Genomic DNA, 22359 nt, shown 5'->3' on the forward strand with positions numbered 1-22359 from the left:
ATCCCAGCAATTTGGGAGGCCGAGGCGGGTGGATCACTTGAGGTTAGGAGTTCGAGACCAGCCTGGCCAACATGGCAAAACCCTGTCTGTATTAAAACTACAAAAATTAGCCAGGCATGGTGGCACATGTCTGTAATCTCAGCTACTCAGGAGGCTGAGGTACAAGAATCACTTGAACCTGGGAGGCGGAGGTTTCAGTGAGCCGAGATCATGCCACTGCACTCCAGCCTGGGTGACAGAGCAAGACTCTTGTCTCAAAAAAAATAAAAAAATAAAAAAGTATGTATTTACTGAGCACCAACCATAAGCAAGACACTGTGAGGGTTACACGGATGAATCAGGTATAGAATCTACCTCAAGGAGTTCCAGGAGAGCTGGACCATGTTAATAAGTCCCTATGATGCTTCTGGGGTGTGAGAACGGGCCCCCCAGGGGTAGACACTGAGACTGTGCCTGGGAGTTTGGAAGGGGCAAGGTTAGGATTAGAAACTCATCCTCCCTTCCACGGCTGCCAGTCCCAGTCCCCTTCAGACAGCAGGGGCCCTTCCCCTGCAGGCCCTCTTTGCCTCATACCTTCCACCAAGGGTCCTCCGGATGAGGGGGATTTCAGGCCGGTGGCCAGCAGCGGGATATTCTGGGACATGCAAGAACCTTGGGGGCCTGTGGGAAGGTGGCTGCAGCCTCCCCAGAAAAGCAGCCGCCCACTCAGCGAGGCCACTCTGGGCTGTGTTTTGAAATGCTGCTGCGGATGTAATGATTTTGGGTGGAGGACGTTTAGAAGCCAAATGAGTTTGTGTGAACAAAAGACTCAGCCCTCGATCTGGACTGTCCAGGGCTCTCAGGGAGTTTCGTTTCCTTCCTTGTTCTTGCTCTGAAAGAAGCAGCCCTAAGAAAAATCAAGCATGTTGGAAAGTGCTAGACATGAGATTTGACGATCAGATTTTTAAAACGCTTCCCCTGCAAGCGCTCTAGCGATGAAGAAAGTAAAATCTACCTCCCCTCCCTGTGAGGGGTCGGCTCTTGTTCAGCTGAGCATTCTCTCCGGGTGACAGACGTCTGCTGGACTGAACCCAGACCCAGGGGAGGCCTGGCCTGGAGCTCCCAAGTCAGGGTCAGCCTTCCAGAAATAGAACTGGCTCTGAGGTGGCCTCGGGCATGAAGGAGGGATACAGCCTATCCCAGCAGGAGTGAAAGATGAAGGACCTTGGAGTGACCTCAAGCTCTTTGCTTTAAAAGGAATTCTATAGGTTTTTTTTTTTCCAAGGCCTTGAGGAAAAGTCCTAGGGTCAAAGGTCAGAAGATTCCCAGTTGGTTAAATAAGTGAACAAAAAGGCTTTCTGCAGGGAGGAAAGGGGGTCTACCTTGTTTCTAGGGGCACCTTCCTTGCTGCCTCCATTTTCTTTGCCCCTCTCATCCTTTGACAAATAAACATCCAACACAGTGGCTGAAGAGGAGGCTCTTTGGTAAAGGGGGAGTTTCTAGAAAGAAGTTGAAGCTGGTAGCTCCCAGTCCCCTCTGGACGCGAAGGCCAAGGGTGCCAGCGGGGTGGTGCGGGCCTTCCGGGTCTCCTGTGTTGTCACCGTCACATTTGATCACACCCAGAGAGGAAGCTGGGTGGCAGGGCTCCACCAAAGGAGACCTGCCAGGTTAGCGAAACAATAAAAAGGCGAGGAAAAACATCCTGGTTCCGAGGAGGAAGAGGGGGGAGAGGCGGGTGCAGGAGGGGCGGGAGGAAACGGGCCTGCTCCCAGGGGTGTGCACACTGGGCAGCCCGGCCTGGGCCCGGGCCCCGGTGTCCACACAGCTGGCGGCTGACTTTCAGAAGCTCTGCAGTTAATTTACTCGACAGACCTCTGTGAAGTGGCCCAGGACTCTGAGGAAATCATAGAAACATCATTTGTCTGGAGCGTTGACGACTGCTAGAAAATGGAGCCGTGGAGTGATGTTTCAGCACCAAGGGCTCTGAGGCCTGTGCTGGCTGATGGGAGGGAGCTCCAGGGCCTCCGAGGGGAGAAGCTAAAATCTAGTTAAGGGAGAAATGTAAAGTCTGCTAATGCGTTTTGTAAATCAAGATTAGGAAACCTGACATTCTATTCAAATATAACCAGTATTTCAAAAAATCAGTTGTATGCCATAGCCATTTAAGAAAGATAAAACAGAGAAAGAGGAAGCAAGGACGGGGGCTGAAAAGAGAAATAAGACAAAAAGAAATAAAGTTAAGGAATTTTTTCAAAAGACATACCAGAGCAGGACAATAGTAATGATTATTATTGTTATATTGCAGCCAAAACGTAGGTAGCATCCACTCCATGCCAGCCACTGTGCTAAGCATTTCACATAGACTGTCTCAATCCATCCTCACGACAGCCTTATGAGGTCCTCCCGTTATTATCCCTACTTTTCTGATAAGGAAACTGAGGTGTAGTGAGATTAAGTAATTTGTCCAAGGTTACACAGCAAATAGTAAAACTGGATCCAAACCCAGGTCCGTCTGACTGCAATGAAAATCCAGTTTAAAAAAAATACAGAAATAGAGAAAGAATGAAATAAGAAAGGGCAAAACTAAGACTGAGCGCTCCAGAGAAAGGGTAACATGTACTGAAAGCAAAAGCCAGAAAGGACAGAGCTAGGCTTCCTCCTTGTGGGCTTCGGGGATGTCTCACTAAGGACACTGGGATCCAAACTGCAATTTCCTGACACAAACAGGGATATGACATCTTGATGTCCTATGTAACTCACTGTCCAAATGGAATTCAGCGCTCTGATACGATTTAGAAGAAAGGGAGGAAGCAAGGATGGGAGGAAGGGAGAGAGAGGAGTCCATGCTGATTTCATGTAAGTAAGAAAAGGTGGCAAGAGACGAAGATGATGGTTTGAGTGCATTATTGGGAGATTAGTGGGACCATTAGCAAGCAAAGGGAGGTCAGGTCTTAGAGGAGGAAGAGATGATGTGTTTGCATTTATAACTGTTACCTGTTGGTTTAAAGTGAAGCTCACTAAACCTGTGCGAATGCTGGCAGATGGCTGAAGGCACAGAACTGGACTGTAGTTGGAAGCACCCACTCGGAGAAAACAGGGAACTGCCTTTGTCCCACAGTTCTCTCTACCTAGACTGTCCTACTTCCTTCCCCTCGGCCTCCTGGCAAAATCAGCTCAGAGATCACCCCTTCCAAGAAGTATTCCCCAGAGACAACTCTCTCCCTCTGGACTATTTTATCTTGTTACACAATTCTAGCTTATTCTCTCGCAATCCTAGGTCTCTTATGAGAGACTGTGGCTCATAGCAGGTGCTCCATAAATGTTCACTGAACCGAGGGGGAGGCAGAAGGTCAAGGGTAGAGCTGTGAAGGACATCCCACCTGGTGGGAGGCAGAAGAGATGGGAAAGCGTTAGCCATGGCAATCACAGACAGATGACAGGACAGAGACGAACAACTGAAAAGGCTATTGAGATTTCTCAGCAATGTTCTCCCTTTCTCCAACTCCTCTCCAATTTTCCACTCATCCTTCCATGTCTACCTCTTCCTGATGCCTGACTCTCTTAGAGACATAACGCCTGATGTGTTCCCGGGAAGCATTCATGACCAACACGTACACAGCACATGCATGTTTACAAAGCGCGTCCATGTGGATCAGCTCCATTCATCCTTCCAACAACACTGAAGTCAACAAAACAGTTATCGTCTCCATTTTACATATACGGAAGCAGGTACAGAAGTTAAATGACTTGCCCAAGGTCATGGCCAGTTCACTATATCACAACTAAAACATTGCTCTGTCCAGTTACAAGTGCTTTCACAGTCATAATTATATTTGCTCCTCCTCAAAAACCTTGTTAGGAGCAGGAAAGTCTTTATTATCCTCATTTTTAATATGAGGAAATTAAGGCCTAGGGACATTAGGCAGCTATCCAATGCCACAGAGGCAGAAAGCAGAAGGGGTTAAGCACAGTTCCTCCAACCCCCGCCAGAGCTCCACGGCATCTCTCCCCAACTCTGCTAGCAGCTACAGCCAGTAGCACTCCATTACCATAAAGCATGACTGTACTAGAAATAATTCCTAACAAACCACAAGAATTCCCCTACCCAAGTGAGTATGGTCCTCTTCAAAGAGGTCCCAATAAGACAATACTTATTCCATCAATACTGTTATTGCTCAAACCATTTTCTAAAATTTGCTACTTTTCTTTTTTCATATATATGTATATGTATATATATATATACACATACACACACACACACACACACACACACACACACACACATATATATTTTTTTAATTATACAGATGAGGTCTCACTATGTTGCCTAGGCTGGTCTTGAATGCCTGGCCTCAAGCAATTCTCCTGCCTCAGCTCCCAAAGTGCTGGGTTTACAAGTGTGAGCCACTGTGCCCGACCCAACTGGCTAGTTTTCAATAGAGCCTGCAGAATATTGTTCTCTTGAGTTTCCTGAATAATGATACATTTCCATCCCTTGATAATGATGTTGGATTATTTTGGAAACACAAAACTTCAAAGACGATCTGATGAAAGATGCAGTAGATAGAGATCCGCAACCCCATTTTCAATCCAGGAGGTTTGCTGCAAGAAACACAAGGGAGTTGCTCATGTGGCTCACACACACTCTGAAGGTGGCTCTCAACTCCTTCAAACACTTGTGAAGCACGTATTGATAACCCCCAAAGGTTCTGATTTGAAGAACACTCATTGACCACAGAGGTCCAAGTGTGACTGATTTTCAAAGGCTTCTTATTTTGTGGTCACACCTGGCATACTGCTTTTATTCAATCCTAATAGCTTTCTATGCGTTCATCTGGTCTCCTCAGATGACCATAGGTGAGGGCTGTTGCACTTGGTTTTTCTGACTTCAAATCATGAAAGTTGGCTCTTTCCTCTCCATGTTTAAGGCTAAGAAGCAAGAGAGAGTTCTAGGGATACCAAGGGGTGAGGTTGGCAGGGGTCCAACGAGGGGAAGACCAGTTAACAGAGGTCTTTGGAACATGGACTTGAACCCTAGGCAGGGAGCTTGCCCACTGTCCAGTAAAATGCCTGGAAGGCAAGGTGCGATGGGAGGGTTGCTGTCAACACAATGACCAGTGTAAATGGGCACTGGTTTCAGTAGCATCATCATTGCTAGTATTTCTAGAGCTCTCTTGCCCAGGCATCAAGCCGTCTACTTTACAGGTGTTATCTGCACCTCTCCATTCTGCGCAGGGCTCTTTCTACTAATAGCCCATTTGACAGATGATAAACTGACCGCACAGAGAGGCTAAATAACCTACCACAGTCCTACAGCTGGCAAGTGGCACTGCTAGGGTTTGAATTGAGACTGTCTGACGCTTCCAAGCCGGGACCTCTGTGGTCTGTGACTGCAACACCAGCAGGGCTCTCGTCTACACCCTGGCAAAAGATGATCCCTGAAAAAGTCTCACCACATGGCCATAATAAAGGTCCTAGTGGCCAGGGAGGTTGCAGGAGTGAAACCCGTCCCCAAGTTGAAGCTGTTTCCATCTCCTATCACCCAGAAAAGGAAAATGGAGTGGTTTTCAATTCTAGCCCAACATATGATAATCACTAGTCACAGCCCTGCACTAGGAACCTCCCTCCAGATGACAAGCAGGTGTCTCTCTCCTGCCTCTTGCTACTCCTTCCTCCAATTTGATTCTTCAGTTCCAAGGTGGAACTGCAGGGCCACCTGAAGAGCTTCACCTTGGCCTCTGCCCTCTTCTTGTCACTTTTCTTCCTCCCCTATCTTCATTTCCCAGCCTATCAGAGACATCAAGAAGAAACTTGTCAACTTATCAAATCCATTTCTTTGCCTTCAGCACCTTCTCTGCACAGATAGATGGGGGCTCCTGTTATTCAGGGTCTTCAGTGAGGTCAGATCCTCCCTCAAGTCCCCCGAGACATCCCAGGAATTGGGATTGAAGTCTTGTCTGCCTCCCATGCCATCTGACCTGTAAGCTTTCCTCAAAAACGTTTACATGACATGAAAGCTAGAATGAAGTTCAAGTACCTCAGAGCTAAAATATTAAGCAAAAGGAAACTGTCCATTTTTAATAGCCTCTAGACTTTGCAGATGGTCTTTCCAGCTCCTTAAGAGACCTTGCAACCAGAGCCCCATACCATGTGGTGGTGCAGACCCTGCTGCAGGACCCTCCACGGCACCTAGAGGAAAATCGACCTCCTTACCATGGTCCTCATGGCCCTGGGTGATCCAGACACCCTGGCCTTCCTTCTTGCCAATCCTGAGACAAGGCAAGCTGGGTCCTGCCTTAGATCATCTGCCCTGGCTGCTCCCCCTGCCTGGAAGGCTCTTGCTGCTATAGGCAGGGGGATGCCATGTGCCAAGTCTCCAAGACAGGAATGAGTTTGGCATGTATTAACAACTGTCTGGTGTAAGTGGAGAGCAGAGCAAGAGAAGGTGAGAGAGGTGGCCAGTCAGATCCTGCAGGCCTCATATTCCAATTTAGGGGGTCTGGATTTTATTCTAAGTACAACGCAAAGCTCTTTGAGGGTGTTAAGCCTCCGAGTAAGGTGACCTGAGTTACATTTTAAGAAGATCACTCTGGCTTCTGTGAGTACAGATTAGAGAGAGAGCATAAGTGGATGCAAACAACAGAAAAGAGCAGTGGGGAGGAAGAGAGCAGATTCACCATGTATTCTGGAAACAGGATCACCTGGAGTTGCCAAAAAAGAATCACGGTAGTGGGTGAGGAAAGGAGAGGAATGGAGGGTGACTTCTAGGCTTCTAGCTTAAGGAACTAGGTGCATGTTGTTGCTAACTGCCGACATGGGAAGAGGCAGGAGTTGACACAGGGTTAGGGGATGAGAATCAAGGATTCTGATTCTCTCTGATTTTCCTCTTTTATTTCACCATCAAACTTTGCCACAGACAGGCCTTCCATGCCTATCATACGGTAGGCAGGCTTCTTCCTGCACTTTTAGGAGTCCCACTAAACAGTTCAGAATGGAGGCCAGAGGCCTTTCCCCAGACCTCATTCTCCCCAGTCTCCCTCTGCCTTTTAACTTGGATAGTTTCCAGATGAGAGGACAAATCAAGACAGAAAGCAGAAATATGTTAACTTACATGGACCTTCACAGACCTCCACATATGATGCATAAACCATGCTATATTCAGATTATCTGCCAATCCACAGCCAACCTGCAAGCCACCCCCACCTCTCATTGCGCCCTCATGCCGGGCTGGCATCCCTTCCTCCCCACCATCCATACTGGATGTTCTCCACCTGACTGGAGCTGATTTCCTCTTCCTCCGTGGCTTTAACTACTGCCCCTCAGGGCTGAATCTGGCCCCGGCCTCCCTCTAGTTCAGTTCCACATTCTCAACCATCCACAGAATACTTCCAAGGGGACATGCAGTCTTTACACTGAACGGCTGAAACTGAAGGAGCCCCTTTAAAAGCAAAGAGCTCCTCTCCATTCTGTCCCATCATCCCCGTGGCCAGGCAGTCTACTACTCCAGCCTTACTCTTTTAAGTGGCCCTTGCATCTCTCCCTTTCAATTTCCACTACCTCCACTCTAACCCATGCTCTGTCCTCAGTCTTTCCTCCCAACACATCAATACGATGCCCACCAGCATTCCAGTGTCTCTTAAACAACTACGGGGCTGTAGTGAGGGCAGATATGTATGTGGTTCATCTATGAGGCCCCAGCTCCAAGCAGAAATGAACAAGCTAATTATGCTTTCCCTGTTCAGAAGCCATCAGGGGCTCCTTGGTGTGGATGGGATGAAAACAAACACCTTAACAGGCCTCTAAAGCCCTCCACAATCAGGTCTAATCCTCCTTTCCAGTCTTGTCTTCAATGACTAGTTGATTTGGGAGCCTAACTGGCCTCTTCAAGTCCTTTTCTCCAGCCTTACTGACTGTTGATCACCTCCCTTTTGAAAAGTCTTGGGCTTTTCAATATTTGGGATTTTGTGGATGCCATTCATCCACCAACTCTCTTTTTTTTTTTTTTTTTTTGAGATGAAGTCTCACTTTGTTGCCCAAGCTAGAGTGTAGTGGTGTACTCTCGGCTAACTGCAACCTCCGGCTCCCAGGTTCAAGCGATTCTCATGCCTCAGCCTCCTGAGTAGCTGGGATTACAGGCACATGCCACCATGCCCAGCTAATTTTTGTATTTTGAGTAGAGACAGGGTTTCACCATGTTGGCCAGGCTGGTCTGGAACTCCTGACCTCAAGTGATCCACCCGACTTGGCCTCCCAAAGTGCTGAGATTACAGGCGTGAGCCATCATGCCCAGCCCATCCTCCACCTCCCTGTCTATCCACATCCCAGTCAACTTTCAAAGTTAAATCAACTCCCCCCTTTCCCACTGAAGTCTCCCTGGACTATCCAGCCCCCAGTGGTCTCCACGTCTGCATGCAGCAGCCCATTTCCACCCTCACCATTCCTTTGGTCAGTATGATCTCCTGTGGCATTTCTTCAGTTGTGAATCACTCATGCATCGTTATTTCGCTTTTTACAATCTTGATGTGTGTGCTCCAACAAGACTGAATGTTCCCTGGGGGCATCACAGACAGGCACTGCAACCTCATCACCTCACACGGCTCTTCCACATAGCAAGGCTTCTGTAAATATATCTTGATTTACAAATCAGTCCAATGTGACACAAATAGAGGCATCTGCCACACTCCAACAAAAGAAGAGTGAAAAAACAGGATAGAAATGTCTTTGTTTCTGTCTATGCCTGATGAATGGTGAGTGGGTAGAAGAGAGCATAGATGTTCAAATGAAAGCAATTTGACAGCATCTGCATGGAGTACCATTTAACCTCGCCTCCTACTGGGCAGGTATTCATAACAACTGCCTCACAATGTCAGCCACTGCTCCACGTTCCCAGGAGAGGGCCCATTAAGAAAGTCACCAATTCATTTCAGCTTGGCTTATAATTAATGCAGCAACCTCTGGCATCAATAACCTATGGATTGGCATATGAGTAGGGCATAATTTACAATCTCTATATAAAATGTCATTTTAAAGACTTGTGGTCTTGTCTCAGGTAATTTCAAACAAAATTTTTAAAAAATTTTTACTCAATAGGTGTCCTCATTGCCACTGCCATCTCCTCATATTTTCCCCACGCCAATGCTGGCCCCTAATCTCTACAAAAAAGCAAGAGCAAGGAATGGAGGGAGGGAGGAAGACGAATGATGAGCAGGAGAGGATCTTAGAGATCTAGGACAACTGGTACCCCATTTTACAGATGAGAAAACTGAGACCTCCTGATATTGTGGGACAAGCACATGGATTTGGTCAAAATCTATTAAAATCCTGCCGCCTCCATTTACCGTGTGATCTAACCTCTCCAGGCTACTGTTTCCAGAACTGTAAAAGGCAAATAACATCCCTCACGGGCTTGTTTTGAGGATTAAATGGATAAGGAGTGTGAAGGCGCCGACCACACATACGTGTTCAAAGGCCAGGGAGTCAAAAGTCAGACCCCAAAACTAGTTTCCTTCCTTGTTGCCTCCCCAGGATTCTTGGAAGAGAATATTTACTGCAGCTGAAACCTCCCATTCATACAAAAAGGACGCTGGAGACAGAGGGAAGCCACTGAAGAAGGCAGTAAGTGGCTAACAAAACCACAACTGCCATCTGTTCTTTGCTTTCTTTCTGAGTGTCTCTGGACAAGGACAAGTTAAATTCAGGAACACTGTTTTCAGCCAGCTGGGCGGGGCTGCTGGAAGGCAGGAGGGATCACCAGGAGGGCAGAGGCTCCTTCCCCAGCCTCCAGGACAAGGATGCAGAAACTGCCCAGCTGGGCAGCAAATACCTTTCAGTCTCCCTCAGTCCACACCATTCGGGTCTCTGGCAAAACATAACAGTTCAGCATGTGCACACAGGCTGAGGAAAGCAATAAAAGGGTTCTTGCAAGGTAAAAAGGATGTGGCTTTTAAACACTCATGCACCACGGAGAGTCCCTTGCCCCCTCCCGCCTCCCCCCCTTCTATTTGGGACACCCTCCATCAAAGCAAACAGGCTTCTCAGGAATCCCCACTACCACCACCCCCAAGCCTCCGCCAGGAGTGAGGTAGCCGCCTTCTGGAGGGAAGCCACTCTCCCCTCCCTGAGGGGCTGTCTCTTGCCCGCTGCACCTTGTAATGGTTCTCCCAGCAGCCAAGCTAAATGACGAAGTTGGCCCACAAAGTTAGAGCAATTCAGGCGACAGCTATTTAACAGCTCAGACGGGGCTCAGCTCAAAGCGCTTCCTTTCCTCCAGGGAGCTGCATTTTTCTAAGATTATTGTTTCTCGGGCTGGCTGCTCAGCTACTCAGCGTCATTTCCCCTTTGGGTGGGAAAGTTCTTTCCTTCTGCATTGATTTTCATTATGATTTAAGCCTTCTCTCCCTCTCATCTGCAGATCTCACAATTAAAGCATAGCATATGGATCACAAAATTAAGGCATATAAACTTTGCATTCAGCTTAGAACTGTGGCTCGGAAGTCCTGAGTGGTAGAAAAACACACGCAGAAAAAGAAAACCTCTAGGTCTCAGCATCTTGTCACCACTGGCTGAAACACCAGCAATAAACATCAGCTGAACAGCCAGCAGGGTGACGGGTGGGTGCAAAAGCTTAACAATGGCTATATAAACAGGGAGCTGCTCTCCAGGGACTTACAGTCTAATACAGGCAAACAATCCACATAATGGAATGCAAACGCGGTTACTCAGCAGTGAGAAGTTGAACTCTGCCAGGAAGAGAAGAGCTGGAAATGGCCCACAGGGAAGAAAAGGACATCTGTGGCCCTTGCTGCTGACATCAGTGTATTTGGAAGTCCCAGGGGCCAGGCCCTGACTACCAGCATCCCCATGGCACGAAAGGCCTGCAGGAAGCTTCTCCAACAACCAAATGGAGCACGTTACTTGTAAGACTCAGGGCTTGTTAGTGACAGTAGCATGGTGCCTCCCCAAACACAAAAATGCTGAGGGAGAGCCGGGATGACCATCTGTCAGGGGTGCTGGAGGGGCAGACATTTGCATGGGACACATTGCAGACTGGAGGACCTGTGGAGGCCCTCTCAGCATTGAGACCTTGCTGCCTTGTGAAATGAGTGATAGCATCTAGTGATACAGGAGGACCCATCCAAAAGGCTCCCAATCCTGGTTATCAGAAAACTCAGACTCACTGAAATCACTGAACACTGGTTTTCTTATGTGTTGTTTCTTTTTTACCCCTAAATGATACTGTTTGAGCCACTACCAGAAAAAAAAGCACAGGTCATGCCTAGATCCTTGGCCATATGAGTAGCTTCTAGCAGCTTCAACAGGTGTTCATTTCATCTCTTCTAATCGCACCTTCCTAACATCCCTTCAGAGATTGGGCCTTTGAGCCACTGAAGAGGAGGCACTCCTTGGGTGGTGTCTGTGGGGCACCAGGAGACCAAGAGAACCTACCTAGGTAAGAGAAGGTGTACACTATTCCAACTACTCTCTCGCTGCTTTCTGGGATTCTCACATGTATTCCTTCCAGTACCTCATATACCTGAAGCCTCCATCACTCACCTCTGCAAAGGAATCAAACTGGGAAAGCCACAAAACCAAGACCAGCAGTGTTACCTGCCACACCTGTGAGGGATGTTTGGGTCACATAAGGCCCCAATTCTTACCAGCTGAGTCCTCTAAGCTAGCTGCCTCCACTGTCCCTACCTCTCTGTAATACCTGTAATACCTACCTCTCTCTAGAGATCCCGCCCCTAAGAGAAGGAAAGAGACTCATGTGCCTGCCCCATCCAGCCAGGGCCCCTGCAAGTCAGTGTCCCTCCCACCTATCCCCTAACAAGATGGAGGCCATTCAGCTAAGACAGCCTGACTACTACCCAGAGAAATCTGCCTTCGGCTCTTGGGTGTCTCCTCTGAAATGTTCTCAGTTCTCTGCAGTTCACCTTCTGTTTAGAAAAACTCACAAAATACTACACAGTGTTCCTCAGTTACTTTCCTAGTTGGAGAAAGTCGGGAAATATGTTGTTTTATGTTCTTGATTCCTTCCCGTGGAAGTTAGCAAAACAGCGTATGCTGTAAGTAATCTAAAGTCACAGTCACTCCGGGATGTGTCTCCTACACGTCTTCAGAAGCTTATCTCTCCTCTCCCTTTTCTTACTGTTCCTCGGTTTCTCAATCTTATGCCAGTGATTTAAAAATTCACAAAATAAGGCATTTTGCGATAATGGGAATACTGTTGAATATGAAATTGAGTTTTTACAGGAGAACTTGATTTTTAAAAATCCAAACTTTTTCTTATTTAACTCTAAGAAGCACCTCTAGGTTGGAGGAAGCAAGCTAATTCACGTGCCAGAAAGTCTGCATGAGATGAGAAACTTAAATGAATTGTCAATTATGCAGACAAAAAACTCAACTTTCAGGGAAACTCCAAATCAATGTCCAGTGTTGCAAGCAACCCAGCTTATTTGAATAGCCCGGACAGAGCATATGCCCTGTGTCACTCACAGGAAGGCAAAGGCTAACACCACCACGTTGCTGACTTTGTTCAAAGCACTTTCCATTTATTTTTACTTTCATTTTGTCACATCATCACTAGGAGGCTAGAAGGAACAGGGATCATCACTTTCATTTCACAGATGGAGAAAGTGAGCGCAAAGAGACAGCAGTCCCAAGGTCATAATGGTATTATGGTTAGAATTCCACTCAGTATGTGGCATATTTTTCCAGATCATAAGAAAGAACTGGACACAAAGGTAGCAGGGAGAAGAGGTCAGTTCCTTCTCTCTGCGTGGGACAGGCGGTGGCTACCACGGAGCAACAGTTCATTGGGAAAGGAAAGGGGAGGGAGGAGGCTCAGGGATGGTCCTGTATCAGCCTGTGCCTTGCAGGGGTTCAACCATGCAACCCCAACCGCGTTCCTTTGCTTTTAAGTCGAACCAGTAGAGCGTTTTGTTTCAAACTACGTACATCCTTTGTCCTTTACAATATCCCGTCCTAGAACCCCTTAAAAATCAGTTATTTAGATGAGAAAGTCGAGCCCTGTACCTGGAGAGGCCAGTTCTGTATAGCGGAAAAAATGAAACTGGGGACCGGCTGGCCAGATATCGGAGGTGGGAGAGATGCTTTGCAGTCTTTTTCCCTTTCCTTTCCATTTTTTTTAAAGTGGGGTGGAAGAGATACAGGGTACCCCATAGGAAATAAGTTTTCTTCCAAAGGGTTGGAGGAGAACGGGATAGTCACACCCCTCAGTCCAGCCAACTGCGAAAGCGTCCCTCCCTACCCGCCGACCCTCAGGGTCCCGCACACGCCGGGCGAGGAGCCCCCACCCTGGGTCGCGCCGCGCGGAGGGGCCTACGGCTGGGGATGCAGCCCGGGGCGCGCCCACGCCCCCAGCACAGACTGGCCAGGCGCCAGGTTCCCGGCTCTCACTCACCCGCGCTCCCGCCTCTGGGGGCCCGGCCGGAGGGTCCCCGCTGTGTCGCGGCGCCTGGCTCAGGGGCCCTGTAGCTGGGGCCGGGGGTCGCGGGCCCGCGGCGCTCCCGGGGCGGCGTGGGCGGCGGCTCGCGCTCCGGGCGGCGCTCCAGCTGCAGCTCCAGCCCCGCTCCCGCGAGGGGCGCCAGGCTCAGCGCGCGGCGAGCCGGGGAAGGCGGCGGGTCCCGCGTCCCGGGGGCCGCCGGCGGCAGCAGCAGCAGCGGCAGCAACAGCAGCAGGAGCGGCGGCGGCCACCGCGAGGCGCGCGGCGAGGCCATGGTGACGGCGCCCGCCCGCGCTCACATGCCCGGCGCGCGGGGCGAGGGCAGCGGGCAGCGGGCAGCGGGCGGCGGGGGCCGCGCGGGGCCGGGGAAGTGAGCGGAGTGAGGCTGCGAGCGCGCTCCCCGCCTCAAAAGTTATCGGGAGCCGCGGGAGGGCTGCCGGGGGCCGGGCTGGCTGGGCGGAGGCGGCCCGCGGCGCCGCTACATGCTAATTAGCCCGGGCGGGTCGCTGGCTGGCGGGCGGCTCCTCCTCAGTTGACATCACCGGCCCCGCGCGGCGGGCCCGGAGGCGGGGAGAGGGCAGGAAGGGGGCTGGGGCCGGGCGCCTGGAGAGCGGCCCGGCCCGGGACAGCGGGATGAGGTCAGCGGAGCCACGGTGCTGCAACTTTTGTCACACACATGCTCCAGAGTCTTCTGAATCGGGCACCACCTACCCAACTCCTTAAACGCACAAGAAGTAGGTGAAAAGCAGGTCCTGGGTAATGTGATTAGCACCAGACTAGATTATCCCAAGTGCTTTGATAGGAGAGAGAAAGGGAACGGTCCCCTGGTACCCAGCCCGCGCTGTCACCGCCGTTATTGATTTGAAGTGTCCCCACTCCCACCCCCACCTCCCCTTCTTCAGGCCCCAGGGCTGGTGATGAGCTCGTGTTTGCCAAACCTAACACCTCACCCTCCGGCCAACGCGAGAATCCGAGTATCCCCCACGCCCTCTCAAGCTTGGATGCCGTTCCCATCCGACCACTGCCTTTGGCTCACACCAGAGTTCTGCAGAGATGTCACCGCGAGGACACCCAAACAGGCTGCAGGGAAAAGAAAACTGTGAATTCAGGCAGGCTAGGGCAAACTCATCATCAGGAAAAGAACTGCAGATCGCAAATTAAACCAAATGATGCCCAGAGAACACAGAATTTTAAATGGAAACCTATGGGGAAAGATTCAAAGATTTCATGTAAACAAATTTTCTTGGTCAATAAAGTTCCATTTGTTTCCATAACCTCTCCCTCCCCAGTAAATGAATAATAAACTGTCTAAAGTTTAGGACTGTAAGCCACCTCATTAAGTGAAGAAAGAGGGGCTCAAATGGGAAAATAACTTGCTCAAGATTCTGAAGGTAGACCCGAAGACGAAATGATTGATCTGTGAATGACCATGTGATATTATTAATTCTGGTCTCCTAATTCAGAGTTTGCAATAATTCGCAAACGGAAACAAATAGTATTGCAACAGAAACAAATGTTGCAGCTCCTTGGGGTTCTTGCGAGTTCTGTTGGGGGCCCCTGTCTGACAACCAAATGCTCGTGAAAATATGAGTATGCACCTCACTGTCAGGCCTGGCTCTCCATCCTATTTCTCTGCTCTTCTCTTTTTCTCTGTCTCCAGATCTCCATGACCCACCTCCAGGAGAATGAGATCGTAGTGTCCAGGGCAGCTGCAGATGGGCCTAGGCCCACTTTCTGGTGACTCAGTACAAGTGAGTCATTTGGCAGAAAAACATAAAGGAGGCTGTGTATAAACAAACTCACCTTAAATGAGAGAATGAGGAGTAAAGATTTGGTTTTATTTTGTTTTGTTTTTAAACAAACCAGCTTTCCAGGGCTCTAACACAGAACTTCCAGGTCTCTCCAAGAAAGTACCAAACAGTAATCTCCCTGAAACTGACTTGGTTTGCTCCCATGGCCTGAGCTTAACTTCTCTGGATGCTGCTCTCACATTAACAGGCAGGACTGCACAGCTGCCCAGACCCAGCCAGACAAGCCCCAACAGACTAGGACTGTGCTCAGAGGTTCTGGTCACTGCCACTCCCTCCCCTCCAAGGAGACCATGTCACATAGTACTGGTTGCACTCCCAGGCAAGTGGAAAGGTTTAAGGGTAGAATGGCCCTTACAGGCTTCTCGTGTGGATTCAGGGATCCTATGAGATAATCTGCCTTCTCTACTAAGACCCAAGGAGTAAACATGTACCTGCCACCTCCCCCCAATCCTCCCCCACCCCCCAATCCCACCCCACTTTAAGTACCACAGGTTTATCTCTCTCTAATCTTCTCTCTGCCTTCTAAGAGAAATGACCGAGTTCAGGGTAACTGTCAGCTAGAAAGGGCTTAACAAGCAGATTAGGAGAGGGACACACAGGGAGAACTTGGAAAGATTGATCAAGGTGTAGATGGATTTCAGCTCTTTTTCTTCTCCTCCTAAGGCAGAACAAGAGAAAACAGCAAGACAGCAAGAGAGAACTGGATGCAGTATAGAACCTTGGAAAGAACAGTTGACTTGGTCCTAGAGCCCTTGCTTCTTTTCTGGCCTTTACCACTGTTTAATTGTGTGATTGGGCCATAGTTTCCAATCTCTAAAACAAAGATGGTCCTGGATGATTGCTAAGGAGTGTTCTAGCTCTGATGTTTTAGAGTTCAGTAAAGAACTTCTGGCACAGTAGCAAGGAGGTATGAAATAGGTATCTCCCATCCAAGTACTAACCAGACTCAAGCCTGCTTAGTTTCTGAGATCAGAAAATATCAGGCACTTTTAGGGTGGTACAGCCATAGACTAAAACAGTTATCTAAGAACATTTGTAGTGTTTTCTTCCCAGGGATATGAAAATCCAGACAAGATTCTTGATCATCTCAGATAGCTTGAGAGGTCCTATCTGGAGCCAGGGTCATAAATCAGACGACTTCTCAGACCCATTCCAGCCCTGGGAATCTGTTGATCTAGGATAAAACAGGTGGGAAGACAGCCCAGAACAAATTCCAGGACTGAGTGAGTTAACAGGCATTCCTAACCTCTCCACAGGTAGGAGTGGGGGCACCCCAATGTAATTGACAGTGAAATCAGCAGGGAGCCCAGTGTCTTTGCCACCTGAAACTTGATGTAGTCAGAGCTTTCGCCAGGGGTTTCCTGCCTCTACTTGTGTTAATCAGACTAGGCTAGGCTATAGTAACAAATAGGCCACCCAGATGCAGCAGCTTAGCACCATGTGTTTCATTCTTGTTACCTTAACAGCCTTAGACACCGATGTTCAGCTCAGTAGGCTGTGTGAAGAAGCTGTCCATTGAGCTGAACATCAGTGTCTAAGGCTGTTAAAGGAACAAGAATCCACATTATGCATCCACGTTATGGTGGTTCTGCCATACTCTAGTATGGCTTCCAAAGTTGCTCTGGGAATTGGCATCCCAGTCAGCCAGAGGTGAAAAGAATGTGGTGGTGTGAGCAGAGGAGGTTTTGGTGGGCCCGGTCTGGAAGTGCCTCATCTCCTCTTACATTCCACTGGAGAGAGCATGGTCACATGGCTCACCCAACTGCACAGGGGGCTGGGAAATGTAGTCTAACCATACAGGCAAAGAAGGGGAGAAGGGATTTGGGTAGACCGCTAACCATCTCTGCCCTACCTCTAGATATCAGTAGGGCAGGGAAAGAAAGGGAGAGTAAAAAGATTCATCTTTTGGTCTCAGTTTCCTTCTTTATGAGGGTGTTGAATCAAATGATCTCTCAAGGCCCATCTAATCTAACATTCAGTGGTGTGAAGGGGCCATGAAATGTCCTTCCACACCAAAGTGAACAAACTGTGCAGGTTCCTGCCACAGCAGACCTGCAGCTTGAGGAGGCCTCCTCTGCTGATTGGTCTGACTGGTAGACTTGACAGAGAGGACCTTGGGTTCTCTCTAAGTTCTGTTCCAAAGCGATTCTCATTTCTTGGCCAAGTCAGGTGATCTCTATTGATCTGTCTCCTTAGCTGCCTAGCGGGGAGAAAAATCATTTCCCTCTGCTGCCTCTTGGGGTTGTCCTGAGGATATGATGAGATCACTGACCAGAAGGCACCAGGAACTCTTCTGACTAAAGTGCTCTGCATGATGCCCTTATTGTAGCCAGAGCCTTTTATAACACTGCATTCTAACCTGGCCCCACGGTGTGCCCAGTTCCTGAGGATGGTGCCTGTGCAGGATTTCACGTGGGTTGGCATTGCCATGGCTGGGATGCAGTGCCAGATGCACAGCAGTAATATCCTACGGACACTCAGGACTCTGGTGACTACGGGTCCCTGAGGGCTGACAGATCAGTTAATAGACCCCTGGATTGAGTTTCACCTAGGGACAGGTAGGCTGGGCCCACAGATCACTGTCTCCACTGGGGCATCTGGCCGGCTTCTCTGTTATCTGCTCATCACCCTATTAAACCCTGAGTCTGTTTACTCATCCTCTCATCTGCTTGTCCCCTCCCACTCTCAATCTACAAGGTGCTTTCTGGGATGCTCTGTGCTTTATTCATCTTTATATCCTCAAAATCCAACATAAGACTTTCTTTTATTTAGTCATTCAACAAATATTTACTGAGTGACTACACTGTGCCCAGCACTGTGCTGAGTGCTGGGCAAGTCTGTGACATCGTAGAGCTTAAGGGTTTGGAGGAGACAGACAGTAATTAAGAGTATAAATGTAAACTTGTCATGTGTAAGTGCTCGAAGGAGAGCACTCAGGAGGGTGTGCTGGGTTTCCCTGTGGACATGAAATTGAGCCCTGATCCGAAAGCTGTGTAGGCTGTTAACCAGGCGAAGCAGAGTGGGGAGAGTATATGCAAAGCACCTGAGGCAGGAGGAAGTGGGATGCATGGAAAGGACTGGAAGAGAGCCATTGTGGCTGAGGTAGAGAGTGAGGAAGAGCATGGAAGGAGGTAAGCCTGGAGACTTTGATAGGAACTAAATCAGGGAGACCTAACAGCTCATTTTAAGGATTTTTTATTTATTTTAAGAGTTTAAGGAAGTCATTATAAAGTGTTAAGTAGAGAAGGTAGAGTACAGTGAAGGTGGAGGAGGAGGAGGAGGAGTTAAGGGGCGAGGGGTGACATGATTTGGGATTGGAAATCATCATTCTAACTATAATAAGAGGAATAATTTAGAAAGAAACAAGAACTCATGCCCGGACTCTTGGAGTCCAGGTGGGAAGTGATAATTCTTGGATAAGAGTAATAGAAGTGAATTCAGAGGAGAATATGGATGTGAGAGATTGCAGTAGGTAAAATCCACCAGACATGTTGATGGACATGGAGGATGAGGGAGAGAGAGAGAGTGGCAAGGTTTCTCAGGTTTCTGGTTTGCATGGGTTGGATGGATGGTGGTACCATTCACAAGGAGAGGGAACGGTGGACAAGAACTATTTGAATCTGCAGACTTGGAACTGAAGGGAGAGGTCCAAGTTTAAGGTTTGGAGTACAAGGGGATGGAATTAAGTAGGGAAGAGAGTATCATAGTCAGAGAAGACAGGCTGAAAATGAGTCCTGGGGGACACAACATGAAATGGCTGGGAGAGGAGGCTGAGCCAGAAAAAAGACTGGAAAGGAGCCACTGAGAGATAGGAGAAAACCCAGGAGAAGGTTACATCACCCCAGCAAAGGGAAGGAGATCCTGGCTCACAGTGTGCAATCCTGCCGAAAGGTCAAGTGAGGTGAAGACTGAAAATAGCCATTCGTTTTAGCAACATAGAAGTCACTGGTGATCATAACAAAAGTGACTTCAGAGGAGTGTTCAGAGCAGAATCCACATGGAGAACAGTGGGAGGAGCGAGAGCTGAGGAAGCCGAGCTGGTGGAGATAACTTTTCAAGAGAGTTTGGCTCTGAAGGGGGAGAGTGAGCTGGGACAGTAAGTACAGGGGAATGAGTAGAGGGGAGTTCTTGTTTTTAGGGGGAACATTTGGACGTGAAAATGGTCTGTGTGGGAGGGAGAAAGTCAAAGGTGATGGGATAAGGTTTCTGAGAAGCAGGAGGGGATGGACTCCGTAGCCCAGGTGGACAGACTGGCCTGGGAGGAGGAAAAGAGGAGAGCGTGGGGCACTGCAGGGCCTGGACTTCCCTCTGGGGACTTCAGTTTTCTTGGTAAAGTAGGGGACTTGACTTGTAAGAGAGGCTACTTGCTGTGAGTGGAGGGAATGTAGGGGCGGGCCTGAGGGATTTGAAATTTTGAGAAACACCAATGTATTCTTTTCCTAGAGCTGCTGTAACAAAGTCCCACAAACTGGGTGGCCTAAAACAACAGAAATGTATCCTGTCACTGTTGTGGAGGCTGGAATTCTGAAATCAAGATGTCAGCGGAACCATGCTCCCTCTGAAGGCTCCAGGAGAGAGCTCTTCCTTGCCTCTTCCTAGCTTTGGCGGTGGTTGGCAATGCTTGCTGTTCCTTGGCTTGTAGCCCCTGCCTCAATCATCATGTGGTCTTCTTCCCACTGTGTGTGTCTGTCTTCACATGGTCTTCTTAGAAAGACGCTGTTACTGGATTTAGGACCCCTTATAATCCAGTCTGATCTTATTTTATTCACATCTGCAAAGACGCTATTTTCAAATAAGGTCACATTCACAGATACCAGAAGTTAGGGCTTGAACATATCTTTTGGGGAGACATAATTCTATCCATTATCATTAAGACATTTAGAAATGGTTGTAGAGAGGGAGAGAAATGTCCGAGCATGCCCAGCGCTGTCACGGGCCCATGGGGACTGGTGAAGATAAACCAATAGTGAGAGTATGCTGCGGCATCAGCTGCTCTCCCACTTGCTCCTCTCTGCTGACCGGCATCCTTGGGCAGAGCTGGGGCACCCCAGCCCTCTCCTGCTGCAGGGCAGGTTTCCCTCCCACAAGAACAGAACCTTGTGACCTCTCTTGACTCTTCCTCCCTTCCTGCCTCAGCCTCCATCTCTGCCTCCCATTCAGTCCCTTTCTCTGCCCCAAGGTACATGAAGAACTCTTGAAGACAGGAGCTGCAGAGCTGGCCCCACAGCACCAGAGATGTCACAGAAGAGCAGAATTCCAGCCCTCCATGGCACATGGGCTACATCTGCACTATTTTGTTCAGAGCTCCAAGAAGCAGGTGCATTGGGATTTTCACCAAAGAACGAAAGGAATAAACCCATCTCCCTATTTTTAACCCCCCAGAAGAAGCCTTATTCTCTCCTTTCTGGAATGTCAGGACCAGTGTCATTTTGTCCAGGCTGCATTGACCTCTTTGCTGGACCCCGGGCATAGGGAGCCCTTGCTGCTTCTCCACCCACCAGTGCTGAGCTCCGGGGGTGTTTGCCTTGCAGGTCCAAGGTGAGAATGTAAACACTGCAATTCCTCTGAAAACTGGCTGGAACCTCCTCCAGGGAGGAAGGGTTGCTCATGGGCTGGCCAGGCTCCCAAACATCATACACAGCAACCCGGAGCTCCAACTTAACACAGCTTGGGGCAGGTCCTCAAATGACCTTCCGTTTCTTGTCTGCCCATCTGAGAGGACCATTCCATTCCAAACAACATTCCTTTGATAAAAGTGGTTACACACTGTAAACATCAATGAGCCAGGAACATTCTCCGGTGCAACAGGATTCTGATAAAGCAGTCCTATTTTGCAAAACCTTCCAGTGTGAAACATCCTCCCCACAGCAAGCAGGGAAATTCCTGGGATGCCACAACATTGGGCAGAGTGTCCAGGGCCCCAGGGAAGGAGCAGAAAGTCTAGAGGTGGAGCTCCCATTGTGGGCAGAGGGACCTGAGTTTTCAATCATCTGTTCATCAGTCACTCACTCAACAAATATTTGCTGAACATGTCCCAAGCGCCAGGCTCTGATGGAGTCACTGGAAATGCAGTGTTTCCACATGACTGCAAAGCTCCCCTGACTTTCAAAAAGCAGCAATGATTTCCTCTCCCCACACAGTCCAGGTTGACAGTCGGGTGCAATATCCACACGCCTCTCTACCTCACTCCCTCTGTGAGTCTGGATGTGTTCTTCTTCCTCTCCAGCCCCCTGGGCCCTCATTCTGTTGGCTTTTCTGCTGTCACTCTCTGTTCGCAGGTATCTCTTCTTGAGTCTGTTTCTGGGTCTCTCAGTCTCTATTCTTCAAGTCTCCCTTTGTGTCACCAAGTGCTTCCCAGCCTAGCCACTCCTCTACCTCTCCATCAGTCTGCCTTACTTCCAATCAATTCATCCCCATTTTTTTCTCCTTCCCTCTTCTGTTTCTTCTCCTTAAGTGACTGTTGATACAGAACTAGATACATTTTTCTTAGGTTGGTGGAATAGACTTTCACATTCTCTGGTGTTTAGTTCTAAAATTGATTGAAAAATGTTTGTATTCTTTAGTGTTGTCTGAATTTCTTATAAGAGTATGTGTAATTCTTTAAAACTGTTTATTAAAATACGATGCCTATATTAGTCCATTTTCATCCTGCTGTGAAGAAGTTCATGAGACTGGGTAATTTATAAAGAAAAAGAGGTTTAATGAACTCACCGTTCCACATGGCTAGGGAGGCCTCACATTCATGGCAGAAGGCAAAGGAGAAGCAAAGTCACATCTTACATGGCCGCAGGCAAGAGAGTGTGTGCAGGCGAACTGCCCTTTATAAAACCATCAGCTCTCGTGAGACTTACTCACTATCATGAGAACAGCATGGAAAAACCCACCCCCATGATTCAATTACCTCCCACCAGGTCCCTCCCATGACACATGGGGATTATGAGAGCTACCATTCAAGAAGAGATTTGGGTGGGGACAAAGCCAAACCATATCAATGCCCGTGAAAAAGTGCCCATGAAATGCCATGCAGAGCTCCAAGAATCTCACTCACTGAACACACTTGTGTAGCCACATCTTGGACTAAAACTTGCTTATGTTGCCTTTCAA

General features: G+C 48.7%; 1 protein-coding gene, 1 long non-coding RNA gene and 1 pseudogene across 2 annotated transcripts in view, besides 7 other annotated features; 1 reads left to right on the plus strand and 2 right to left on the minus strand.

The window, feature by feature from the left end:
* The window catches only part of HEG1 (heart development protein with EGF like domains 1), a 90288-nt gene extending 76463 nt beyond the window's left edge, over positions 1–13825 (minus strand). Inside the window, exon 1 of the mRNA NM_020733.2 lies at positions 13403–13825. Coding sequence (NP_065784.1) covers positions 13403–13718 — 316 coding nt within the window. The 5' untranslated portion in view covers positions 13719–13825. The remainder of the gene's footprint in view (positions 1–13402) is intronic.
* Positions 1701–2214: an enhancer, noted in NCBI's record as "H3K4me1 hESC enhancer chr3:124762717-124763230 (GRCh37/hg19 assembly coordinates)". NCBI's record gives its function as "activates a minimal SCP1, AML or CMV promoter by ChIP-STARR-seq in primed H9 embryonic stem cells {active_cell/tissue: H9 hESC(primed)}" and the evidence as "EXISTENCE:reporter gene assay evidence [ECO:0000049][PMID:30033119]".
* Positions 9666–9795: an enhancer, noted in NCBI's record as "active region_20408". NCBI's record gives its function as "activates an Ori minimal core promoter by ATAC-STARR-seq in GM12878 lymphoblastoid cells {active_cell/tissue: GM12878}" and the evidence as "EXISTENCE:reporter gene assay evidence [ECO:0000049][PMID:35858748]".
* Positions 9936–9985: a silencer, noted in NCBI's record as "silent region_14657". NCBI's record gives its function as "represses an Ori minimal core promoter by ATAC-STARR-seq in GM12878 lymphoblastoid cells {active_cell/tissue: GM12878}" and the evidence as "EXISTENCE:reporter gene assay evidence [ECO:0000049][PMID:35858748]".
* Positions 13319–13478: a silencer, noted in NCBI's record as "silent region_14658". NCBI's record gives its function as "represses an Ori minimal core promoter by ATAC-STARR-seq in GM12878 lymphoblastoid cells {active_cell/tissue: GM12878}" and the evidence as "EXISTENCE:reporter gene assay evidence [ECO:0000049][PMID:35858748]".
* Positions 13539–13628: a silencer, noted in NCBI's record as "silent region_14659". NCBI's record gives its function as "represses an Ori minimal core promoter by ATAC-STARR-seq in GM12878 lymphoblastoid cells {active_cell/tissue: GM12878}" and the evidence as "EXISTENCE:reporter gene assay evidence [ECO:0000049][PMID:35858748]".
* Positions 13709–14088: a silencer, noted in NCBI's record as "silent region_14660". NCBI's record gives its function as "represses an Ori minimal core promoter by ATAC-STARR-seq in GM12878 lymphoblastoid cells {active_cell/tissue: GM12878}" and the evidence as "EXISTENCE:reporter gene assay evidence [ECO:0000049][PMID:35858748]".
* Positions 14339–14388: an enhancer, noted in NCBI's record as "active region_20409". NCBI's record gives its function as "activates an Ori minimal core promoter by ATAC-STARR-seq in GM12878 lymphoblastoid cells {active_cell/tissue: GM12878}" and the evidence as "EXISTENCE:reporter gene assay evidence [ECO:0000049][PMID:35858748]".
* RNA5SP137 (RNA, 5S ribosomal pseudogene 137) lies at positions 16132–16266 on the minus strand (annotated as a pseudogene).
* DAGARR (differentiation and growth arrest related lncRNA) lies at positions 19239–21901 on the plus strand. Its single transcript, XR_007096044.1, has 2 exons — positions 19239–19351; positions 19699–21901. It is a non-coding gene; the product is annotated as a differentiation and growth arrest related lncRNA (long non-coding RNA).
* The last annotated feature ends 458 nt before the right edge of the window (positions 21902–22359 follow it).

Source organism: Homo sapiens, chromosome 3 (genome assembly GCF_000001405.40).
Source record: "Homo sapiens chromosome 3, GRCh38.p14 Primary Assembly".
Lineage (NCBI taxonomy): Eukaryota > Metazoa > Chordata > Mammalia > Primates > Hominidae > Homo > Homo sapiens.